At 44.3% G+C, this 12295-nt stretch overlaps 1 annotated feature.

Annotated features, from left to right (window-relative positions):
• Positions 2653-3152: an enhancer, noted in NCBI's record as "H3K4me1 hESC enhancer chr2:228725143-228725642 (GRCh37/hg19 assembly coordinates)". NCBI's record gives its function as "activates a minimal SCP1, AML or CMV promoter by ChIP-STARR-seq in naive H9 embryonic stem cells {active_cell/tissue: H9 hESC(naive)}" and the evidence as "EXISTENCE:reporter gene assay evidence [ECO:0000049][PMID:30033119]".

The following is a 12295-nucleotide window of genomic DNA, read 5'->3' as shown; positions in this document are numbered from 1 at the left end:
CTTTGTGAGGCTTGCTGGATTTCCAGGATCACCTCAAAGAAGCTCGGCGTCATTTATCTCTCTTCTTGGATCCCAAAATTCCAAAGAAGTTCTCTCCTGCCCTCCTACCTCCAACTGTGACTAATTGTCTCCCTCCTTCTCCCTTCTACCCAGTTAAATGAGTCATTCTCTAAATATGCTGATGGTAGTGGTGCTGGGGATTGACTGGAATCAGATCACTGGTGCCCTCTGCCTTGCCTGAGAAAAAGGCCCTGGCTAGGCTTGTGAATTTCATGCAAACAGGTAAAGACATCCTGCCATGCTTTATATGGTGCCACTGCTAGCACAAGCCATGACTTTGGGCAGATTAGGGAAAGGCATCAGCTCTGGGTTAGAGGGTGTTCCTTCACACTGCCAGGACCTCCAGGCCTAATGGGGGCATTCCCGCAGCCAGAAAACCCAAGCTGAGCAAGGGCCAGCCTTTGCCCCACTCACTGGCAGGGCTTTGGGAGCTATCCAGACTTCTCAGTGGGCCACCCAGCCCTGGACACGTGCCCAGGGGGCAGCTGATCATTGTAGGCTCCCCCTAGACTAGCCCTGCTCACAAAAAGCCTTCACCTCTCCACACTCCCTCATGAGCTTATACTCTCCTCTAGTGTACTTGGTTGCAAGTTGCTTTTCAATGAAAATGAAGTGAGGGAAAGATGGTGCAATGTGTAATTACATCAGACCTGCCAAGAGTCAGACTTTTGATGTTGCTGATGAGTTCGTCCTCTTTAGGGAGGCCTGATGGCCTGCCCGGAAAGGACACAAATGTGAGTCAGAGGAGCTTGACGTTTGAATGCCAGTTCTTCCACTTACTAGCAGATCCCTTTTAGAACCTCGATTTGCTCAAATCAAAACGGGGATAATAATACTATCTGCCTCATGGGGCTATTGTATAAAACAAATGATGTAAATATATACAGTGGGCTGTATACCCAATTTCTAGGCACCTAAAATCTTTTTTCGTTGAACATTATCGTAACGGAATTAACCACTTCTATAACTAAATTGTTTAACTCTGGAATACGTGTTGATATGCAAAATATGTCTAACCATCTATTCCAAATAAAATACCACATCGAGGGATTGTTGCAATTAGGTCAAGGTTATTTATCTGCTAAATAGCTCACTGCCAGTAGGGGGCAGAAGTGTACACCTGTTTTATAAGAGCATTTACATTCTTTCCGTAGGTCAATAATAACTTAATTGTATATTTTAAAATAACTTAAATAATGTAATTGGGTTTTTTGTAACTCAAAAGATAAATGCTTCAGGGGATGGATAACCCATTCTCCATGATGTGCTTTTTTTTTCCAATCCTCAGAGACATCTGAAATGTGCTTATTTCACATTGCATGCTGTGTCAAAATATCTCATGTACCCTATCAATATATATACCTACTATGTACCCACAAAAATTTTTACAAATAATAAAAATAAAACTTTTTATAATAAAATAAACAATAAATACAACAAAATATTCAGAAAAGGAAGGAAGGAAGGAAGAAATGAAGGAAGGAAGGGAGGGAAGGAGGAAGGGAGCCCAGAGCCTAGGCCAGACAAAAGAGCCTAAGTATTGAGCAAACTCTTTCCTTTTAGCTACCTAAAACTTATCTTTGAAATAACTTGGCCGGGCGCGGTGGCTCACGCCTGTAACCCCAGCATTTTGGGAGGTAGAGGCAGGCAGATCACTTGAGATCAGGAGTTTGAGACCAGCCTGAGCAACATGGTGAAACCCCATGTCTACTAAAAATACAAAAATTAGCTGGGTGTGGTGGTGGGCGCCTATAATCCCAGCTACTTGGGAGACTGAGGCAGGAACATCGCTTGAACCTGGGAGGCAAGAGGTAGCAGTGAGCCAAGATTGCACGCCACTGTACTCCAGCCTGAGTGACAGAGTGAGACTCCGAGAAAGAGAGAGAGAGAGAGAGAACTCCTTGCCATGACACCAAACATGCTAGCAATGGTAACAATGATAATAATTAACATTTATTGAATGCATACTTTGTACCAGGCTCTGGGTTAATTGTATCACCCAAATCATCTGCTTCAATCTTCACAAAAACTATGCAGTAAGGACCATTGTTCCCATTTTACAGATGACAAATTGAGGCTTTGAGAGAAGAGCACAGCTTGATACGCCCTCTCTGTTTAAGGCCATTTTGAAATAGTTCTTTATTTAGCCAATTTTACTTGCCTTGGTCTAAATTTCTTACTTTTTCAATTATTTTCTTATTTCCTTTTGCAAATACAGAACTGTTTATACTACTGCTTCTCTGAGGTGCGTCTGTGCCAACTCAACACCACACAGTCCCTGCAGGACTTACCGTAACAAATTCCAAGATGATAATAGCTTGAATGTGTCTCAGCCAGGATTTTGGCTTTGTGTGTGTCAACTGAACTGAATATGTGCTTGCTGAAAAGTGACATTTTAAAGCAGAAAGGGAAAGATCAGCTTGTTCTTATTTCTTGTTTTCAATGGAAATATATACAGGAAATACTTAAAATGATAAAAACTTTTAAAGCCTATGGTTTTATGCTTGTTACTGCCTCTGTTAACTTTGTTCCCAGGACATAAATCTCACAGACTGCCCAGCATCTCAAAAGAGCAACAGTAGTAGGTAATGGGGGGAAGGTGTAGCTGCGCAAACCTTGGCTACTCTCCCAAAGGGGGATTCCAGATCCTCTCCACCTCCTCTTTCTTTCTCAGACTGTTGGCACTCCCTTTTGTCTTGAAGCTCCTTTCGCTTTTTCCTGCCTTTCTGTCTTTTTTCTTTCTCTCTTATGTTTTAGTTCCATGTTTCTGTCTCCAACTCTGCCTTTGTAGCAGCTCCTTTTCCTAAACCATCTCTTTCTTCTTCAAAGCCCACCTGAACAATCCCTTTCCCCTTTTCCTCATATTTTATCAGTTAAGTCCTTTTATTTCCAAAACTCTGACATGGCCACATTGGCAGCTTTGGTTGGCTCATTCAGTTCTGTTTCATTTCCCTGCCAGTGGGCCTAGTGCCTGCTGGAGACCGCAGACAGCTTCAGGGCCCAGGTTCCACGTGTGGCCTGATTCCCATCAAGCAGGCAACACCCAGGTGATGCCCGTGCCATCTGGGAAGCAGAAGCAGCATTGGCAGGTAGAGTCAGGGCTGCCGCAGGCAAGCTCAGCCCGGTCATCATGGGGGTAGTCTGTTTCCTTCTGCAGCAGCTCTAACAGAGCTCTCCACAGCTGGGCTCTAGCATCATGGATGGTGACAAGACAAGTGCAGGCCATTCAGAATGCCAGCGAGATTGTGGCCCACAGCCATCAGCTGTGTGCTGGTGTCCCAGTTCCCTATTCCCTGATCATAGCAGAGTCAGCCACAGGCCTAGTGAACAGTTCTGCAGTGTTGCTTTGGCAGACCCACCTGAAAATTCTGCTCAGAATCTGTTCTCGCCCACTAATGATTTGGAAAACGTACTTCCCGTTTCGATCACTTTAGTTAAAACTACCACTGAGTCCTACCCAATCATTAATTAGTAAAAGAAGTGATTAGAGACTGGGCTCAGTGGGTCATCTCTGTAATCCCAGCACTTTAGGAGGCCAAGGCAGGTGGATCACCTGAGGTCAGGAGTTCAAGACCAGCCTGACCAACATGCCGAAACTAAAAATGCGAAAATTAGCCAGGTGTGGTGGCATGTGCCTGTAATCCAAGCTACTCAGAAGGCTGAAGCAGGAGAATCACTTGAACCCAGGAGGCGGCGGCTGCAGTGAGCCGAGATCGTGCCACTGCAATCCAGCCTGAGTTACAGAATGAGAGAATGAGACCCTGTCTCAAAAAAATAAATAAATAAATAAATAAATCCACACTGGCTGTCAGTCAGCCTCCTCCCCACCAACCCCAGTTTATGCTCAATGGGCTCATTAATAAAGTAGTGTAAGAGGCTGGAATAAAGGTAAGACATGGCCCATAGAGGATTCCTTGTCACCAAGGCTGGCCTATCTATTGCCACTGGGCTGGCTTGCCAATTGCACTGCTACGCATCCAAATTGCCTGCAGCAGCAATCAACCTTGAAGCCCATTCTTTTACCATCCCTGGAGAGCCAGGCTGACACCCACCAGAAGGTTGATTGTGTTGGAACTGCTCATCACAAAGGGGACAAAAAATTGCCCACAGTGAAAAAGACTTATGCTAGATAAGAATTTTCCATATCTGGCCGGGCGCAGTGGTTCACATCTGTAATCCTAGCACTTTGGGAAGCCAAGAGGGGCAGATCACGAGGTCAGGAGATTGAGACCATCCTGGCTAACATGGAGAAACCCCGTCTCTACTAAAAATACAAAAAATTAGCCAGGCATGGTGGCAGGCGCCTGTAGTCCCAGCTACTTGGGAGGCTGAGGCAGGAGAATGGTGTGAACCTGGGAGGCGGAGCTTGCAGTGAGCCGAGATCATGCCACTGCACTCCAGCCTGGGCAACAGAGTGAGACTCCGTCTCAAATAAAAGAATTTTCCTTATCTGCCTGCTATGCTCCCTCCTGCAACACAATCTGCCTTGTCCATCATCCTGGTATCCAAACAATATTGTTTCTCACAAGAATCAAGGCAGTCAAATGGTTCTCTTCTCTTGCCACATACCTTGCCTGAGCAACTGGCCTATAGAACACTCAGCTCCAGGGCCGAGTGGAAAAGCAACACTTGGCCGGGTGCGGTGGCTCACACCTGTAATCCCAGCACTTTGGAAGGCTGAGGCGGGTGGTTTACTTAAGGTCAGGAGTTCGAGACCAGCCTGATCAACATCGCGAAACCCCATCTCTACAAAAACACAAAAATTAGCTGGGCATATTGGTGCACATCTGTCATCCCAGCTACTCTGGAGGCTGAGGAAGGAGAATTGCATGAACCCAGGAGGCAGAGGGTGCAGTGAGCTGAGGCCGCGCCAATGCGCTCCAGCCTGGGTGACAGAGCCGAGACTCCATCTCAAAAAAAAAAGAAAAGCAATATTTGTTAGGTTGGGGTGTGTTGTTCTTGATGTGGTTTTTTTGCTGTGAACCAGCACCCGACCATCTTGGGTGCTGTCTCTCCTATGGTCAGAACACGTTGTTCTGGATGCCAATGGTGGGAATGTGAGTGGCATCTCTTCACATTCCACCCAGTAATTTACTCAAAAAAGTCTGATCATGATCTATTCGACTGTGATTCTGCTTGTTCAGACGTCTGAGATCGTAAGAACAAAATTATTCCACCATTAGACACACCCGTGTTCCCGTAACTAAAAGCTACCCTTTGGCCATTTCAGGTTCCTTTTGTCCCTGAATAAACAATCCAAAAAAAAAGCAGGGGAGGGATTTACCACATTGACTGGGAAGAGTAGACTGATTATCAAGGGGAAATGGAGTTCCTGTTAAATCATACAGTTGATGGGAGAATATTCCTCAAACCCAGAAATCTTGTCATGTCAGGTGGTAAAAGTCAGTGGAAGACCATGGGAACCAACATGACAAGGACCTTCCTAGGGTTCATGCCATTCACAAAGGAAGGTTTGGATGACCCCCCCCTAAATAAACACCCTAGCCTGCTGAAGGCAAAGAGATCACAGAATTGGCAGTGGAGGAGGAAATAGACACAATAAATACCAAATAAACTTCATGATCAGTTGCGGAAATGAACACTGTTCATCGTTATAGCAAACTTATTTCTTCTTTCCACGCTGTGTCTTATTTTTTTCTCTCTCCCATTTTTCTACTATTGAGACAGCCAGGTGGGAGAGGGTCCCCAGAGAATCTCCAGCCTCTCCAACCGGCCTGAACACTGGGAGGAGCCACACAAGTTCATGGTATTTGCAACAGGGAGGAGCCTGGCCTGTCCTCTTCCTGTGTGGAAACTGGGATTCGAATGGCTGAGCAGGAAGTCCTCTAACGGGGACCCTGGCCTAGCTGAGAGTTCCTGTTTCCATCTTTTCTAACTTTTTTACCCAGTAAAACCCTGGGTTGTTGTTTTTTTTTTTTTTTTTTTTTTTGAGACAGAGTCTCGCTCTGTCACCCAGGCTGGAGTGTAATGGTGCAATCTTGGCTCACTGCAACCTCCACCTCCCAAGTTCAAGTGATTATCCTGCCTCAGCCTCCCGAGTAGCTGGGATTGCAGGCACCCATCCTCATGCCCAGCTAATTTTTGTATTTTTAGTAGAGATACAGACAGTCTATTGGCCAGGCTGGTCTTGAACTCCTGTCCTCAGGTTATCTGCCCACCTCAGCCTCCCAAAGTGCTGGGATTACAGGCGTGAGCCACCGCGCCCAGCCATAAAACCCTGTCTTACCATTCAAATTGTCGGCGAGCCTAAATTTTCATGGCTGTGGGACGAAGAACCCCATCTTCAGCTGAATTAAGGAAAAGTCCTGCAACACGATTTTACATGAGGCTTTTTGGTGGGTGTTAACTTCATAATTTTGTCCATAGGTTATAGTAAAACCATACAGGACTGTGGTTAAACTAAAGAAAGAAGGACTAAACCCCAGAGATGAACGCTGCAACTGATGACATTTGCGGTCCCTGCTTTGGGAAAAAAGTATTCTCATTTGCATGAGGGATGGTTTTATTGCCATCAAGAGAGCATTTTTTTGTTGCTATTGTGGTTTGAAAGTTTAAGTGTGGGAAGATGGGGACACATGGGTGTCAAGTGGTCAAAGCTTTGGTCTATGGCAAGAATTGGACTTTGGCTCCATCAGCTCCATCCCAACCCCCATGGACTTGGCTCCACTGCAAGCTGGAGGCTGAGAAACCAAAGACTACATTTCTGAGGCATCCTTCCAGCTCAAGTTTTTTATGTGACCTTCCCACCCAAGTCCTCTCTGAGCTGTGAGAAAGAATGGGAGCAGGGTGTTTAAACCCAAATCTGAGCTATGTTCTTAGCTGTGATGAAAAGTTCAAGAGTGTTAGGAGGCCGTGAGTGGTGGCTCAAGTGTGTAATCCCAGCACTCTGGGAGGCCGAGGCGAGCAGATCACCTGAGGTCAGGAGTTTGAGACCAGCCTGACCAACATGGTAAAAGCCCATCTCTACTAAAAATACAAAAAAAAAAAAAAAAAAAAGAAGTGTTAGGATCAGAATGGTGGGAGTTCCAATTCCTACTCTGCTACCTAATCCCTATGAGAATGTGGACAATTTACTGACCTTCTCAGAGCCAAGCCTCAGTACTCCATGTGTAAAATGTTTATCTGTAGCTAGAAGAATTATCCCAAGAAATAGGTGTAAACCACCTTGTAAAGTACCTGGCACAAATCATGAAATGTCATTTCCCTATCCCTTAACAATTGATGATCTCTGTGGCAGTCAGACAACTGGCCATATCTTTTTCAGGGATACAATGAGTAAAAAGTGTGCAACATTACAGGAATGATAAAAAAAGAATTTCTATTATCTAGCAGGGCACAAAGCCAGGGAAAATCTCATCCTAACTGGGGTCTGATTTCTTTTTGCAGGTAGAAAGTTATCGGGGTAAAACCTCCTTTAGAATACAGGGCCAATATCATATTAAAACTTCTGGACTATATCACTGTTTAAACGTATGGTTAAATGTACCTGAACATAGTTTACAGGTAACAGAACTGTGTTCATATGCAGCCTCCTGCTTCCACTACTACCTTGATTTATTTCTTTCTTGAAGCAGGAAGTGCTATTGCCTACAGGGATTTTTTATTTTTTTGTATTCAAGTTAATGTTCCTAAAATATGTTGTTACATGCTCTCCACTTTTATGGTAAAGCAGAACTATATTGAAATGCTTATTATCAAAATTCACGCATGATTTTAACCTATAGACATGAAAAGAAAAAAATTCAAATCGTTTTTTCACAGTGGAAACCCCCACTTTTTAAACAATGAATTGTCAGGGTTGGCTGTCCTACTGAGGCTACTGTTCTAGAAATGTTTGGCACCTGATAACCCTAGGCAGAACAAGAAAGCTATTCATTATCCAGTAACAAAATATACAATGTTAGATGTATTTTCTGGTATAAACTTCTCAGTACTTCCCATGACTAAGGCGGAGGAAGGAAGTTCTCCTTTCAGAGAACTGGTTTGGAGGAGAGAAGGGATGATTTTCTCTTTTATTGAAATATGTCATGGGTTTGATGAAAGTTATGTGTGATGCTTAAATATTTGCAGACTATACTAATTTGATTTTTCTATTGTAACCAGGAATATAGAAACAATGAGCAGATATTTAGATATATACCTATATAAGTGGAGTACACCCATATATTAATGGTAATAGGAATGGAATAAGTGAAAGAATAGGAGATACAAGAAAAAATAACTAAGAGACAGATGGCTTCAGAAGAGGAAAAGAAGATACTAAATGTAAAGAAAGAGGGACATAAAAATAAAACAGAGAGAGAGAGAACTCTAAAATATAAATAGAAGGCTGGGCACAGTGGCTCACGACTGTAATTCCAGCACTTTGGGAGGCCGAGGAGGGAGGATTGCTTGAGCCCAGGTGCTTGAGACCAGCCTGGGGAACATGGAAAAACCACATATCTACAAAAAATATAAAAATTAACTGAGTGTGGTGGTGCACATCTGTGGTCCCAGCTACTTGGGAGGCTGAGGTGGGAGGATCATTTGAGCCCAGGAGGCAGGGTTTCAGTGAGCCAAGATGGAGCCATTGCACTCCAGCCTGAGTGACAGAGCCAGATCCTGTCTCAAAAAATAAAATAAAATATAAATAGGAAACACAGTGCTAAAGAATCTGAACTCACTACCTGGGTTTTGGAGTAAGTATAGGAATGGAGTTGTTTATTTCTCCGTCTCCTTTACCTGCCAAGTCAACGAATTCACCACTGCATCACTCAAGCTCAGCACAACGCCAATAAACCAATAAAGTCTTGTTCCGTAACTGAGTGAGGCTGAGGAATCATCATAGAACTACTGAATGTTAGTTACAAAGACCTTGAAAGGTACACTCTCTTTGAAGCCAATGTTCACCCTATCTTGGTTCTTTCTGGTAACAAACAATACACTTCTCAAGACAGTTGGAGATAGATAGCTTTCTTCTAATAGGATAAAACCTCCTGCCTCTACCTACCAGGTTAGCCCTTGGAACTGTACCTGGCATATCTAACTTCTCTTCTACAGGACAGCCCAGCGGAAGCCAGCTTTACATGGCCTTTAAGATCACCTCGAAACCCCACTGGTTCCTCACACCACAGTTTCCAGTGCCTTCATCTTTATGACTCCATCCTGTAAGAGCATTTTCCTGATCTTCTTTTTTCCTTCCAAAGCATGGCTTCTTCTCTTGGTGTGGTCGGAACAACACAAAGGAAAGGGCCATGACTGCCCTCATTCCAGAGACTGAACGTGTAATACTATACCTTCGATTCAAATGACTTTTCTTTGAGTGGCCACATGGTAATAAGAAGAGCTCACCACTGAAGAGCACTTTACAGCTTACGTGCCTCATGCCTCACACCGAAAAACAGTCTTCGTCCTCTCCTTTGGGTACAAAGCTCTGGGGAATTTTTGAAATAGGACAAGGAAGTTTGTCTTTGATCAAACAAACTTCATGCACCAACTCTCCTTCCCACCCAGGGATGTTCCCAAGTGCCTTTCCACCAGCTTCTGCACTTAGCAAAGCTGACTCACCCTTACTTGCCAACATGCTGGGAGCTTCTCCATTAACTTTCCTTCTCAACAATCCCCTCCAAACCCTTTCCCAGACAAGCTCTTCTTCCTCCTGCCCAGCGTTCTGGTTAAGGGGATAAGTGCTGAGCCAGGTTACATCATTACTCAGGGCATGAATCCAGACAATTGATTTGACCTTCATTCCCTCTCCTGTAAAATGAGGTTAATAAAAATGCTGACCTTCTTAAGTCCCTGAGAGACAGAGCAATAAGTTGAAACCCCTCAAATGGGGCTGGGGACCCAGAAAGTCCTCAAGAAGCATTAGTTAGTATCACAATGCTTGCCCTGGGTGTGCCACCTGAGGAAGCCCCGTGATTTATTCAGTCACACTAAAGACTGGCTGACTACTGGCTTCAAACTGTGACGTGCAGGATTCCTTACACTGAGCTCCTGAAACTGTGCACAATTATGTGAATACAAGCATATTTCCCCTGAAATTCTTTACCCCAGGTGCAAAGTAGAGTCATCTGGAGAGCTTTTAGAAACCACTGATGTCCAGCCCCATCATCCCCAGCCAGATATTCCCACGCAAAGCATTCCTAAGTAAGGCCCTGGCACTTCTCCCAGTAAACGTAACAGGCAGCCAGGGGTAAGAACCATTGATGCATGGCAAGATTCTTAACAAAGGTGAGGTCATTTGTATGGTTTAGGAAAAATAAAATACCCATGCCAAACCTCCCAGAAACTCAGACCCTTTAGGTCTGAGTTAGGATCAAGTAACTGTTTTAAAAGCAATACAGGCGATTTGGCTAGAGGCAGGAGGCAGATAAATTCTAGGTAGACAGGGGCAGGACCCCACTGAAACTCCACCTTTGAGCCGAAAAGCCTGAAACCCATGACCCAAAGTGAGAACTTCTATCCCTGTTTGCCTGCTCTCTCCCAATTGGTTCTTTCTGAATAATGTCTTTTTACCAATCAAACGTTGCCTTTTCCAAAACTACCTACAGCCTGCCCCACCCCCGATCCTGTGCCTGTAAAGACCCCAGACTTAGTCGGTAGAAAGAGAGAAGTGGCTTGACTGGAGAAAGGTGACTTGACTTCAGAGGGACACCTGGACTTCAGAGGAGAAATGGCTTAACTTTGGACTTCGGGAGATTATTGTCTGTCCTGCCCCATCTCCAGCTTCCCTCTCTGCTGAGACCCATTTCCGTCGCTAAATAAAATTCTCTGCCTTCACCATCCTTCAGGTGTCCATGCTACCTCATTCTCCTTAGATGCCAGATAAGATCTTGGAACTCACCTAGTGCAGGTACCCAAAAAAGGCCATCACACTGGCCCTTTGCTCTCACTGGTGGAGCGATGAGGGCACTGTAACATGCCCTCTGGGACTTTAGGGTTGCAGGAACACCCACCTGGGTGCCACTGCATGGCCCACATGGAGTCTGCTCCTTCCAGCGCCCAAAGTGGCCGGCTGGATCCTACACTCACTCACTCATGTGCTTCCTCCTGCAAGAGGTTGAGCATGGCAGGCCAAGTAAACGGGTCACCCCTCTTCCAAGTCCAGTGAAAGGGTTGAGAAAAACCCTGCTTCAATTCTGATGTGCTCCAGAGAACCACTGGCTGGCAAATTTTCCTCACATTTTCCAAACATAATAAAAAAAAGTGGCTTCCTAACAAAAGTCAATGGCGTGGTATCTATCTAGGGTGAGGTTTCTTCTGCCAGGCTTCTCTTCTCCAGCCTCAGATGTTCAGCCCTAAGCTCCCTGGGGGCCAGCCCTGGCTCTTTTCCTTGCTAATCAGGCAAATCACCTACCAGATCAGCTTTCATCTTTACTGAGAATGAGGAAAAGCAGGAGAAATGGCTGAAACCATGGGGTTCCTTCTTCATCTTTATTCAGAATATTTTAGATTGAGTGAAATAGCTTTAAGAAAGTTGTTTCTATTTCTGTCAACATATGCATGTAGGAACAGATTTTTAACAATAACTGATAAAAATGAAATCCAGGAAGAAGTAGGATATTGTCACTTCATTTCACACTGCACCAAATATATATGTGCAAATTGACAAGCTTGTATAAAGAAACAAAAAATAAGCCCAAGTAAGGTAAGATATCTGAATTCCTTAATATAGTCTCTTTAAAAATTTATATATCAACATAGTTTTACCTCCTGGGCTTTCTTAAGATGAGTTTTTCATTATAACAAAATTGTTCTTCCCATATTTATGGTGTTAAAATGTCCTTTCTTTAATGAAATGATGGCACATTTGCTTTTTCATTGGTTTGTAATGACTTTGCTCTGATAAAGAACTGGAAACTGTATGTTGGTCAACCCCCATCTGCTGTGCATCCCCCACAACTTTTTAAAAAGCAATCTGTGAAATCCCAGAGTCTTGCAAACAGGTGGTCTCTGCATATCACTTTTCAAAGTGCTTAACTGATGTATAAACACCTGAACCCCACACAGACCTACACAATGAGTATCTCCCAAATACTGGCTTTAAACAAGTGCCCCAGACGCATGCTGAAATTTGACACCCAAACTGGAGGTATTGCATTTTCGTTGTTGTTTGTTTGTTTGCTTGTTTGAGACGGAGTCTTACTCTGTTGCCAGGCTGGAGTGCAGTGGCACAATCTGGGATCACTGCAACCTCCACCTCCTGGGTTCAAGTGATTCTCCTGCCTCAGCC

Source organism: Homo sapiens, chromosome 2 (genome assembly GCF_000001405.40).
Source record: "Homo sapiens chromosome 2, GRCh38.p14 Primary Assembly".
NCBI lineage: Eukaryota > Metazoa > Chordata > Mammalia > Primates > Hominidae > Homo > Homo sapiens.
The sequence above is the reverse complement of the archived record's forward strand: the minus strand, read 5'-3'. Positions and strand labels throughout refer to the sequence as shown.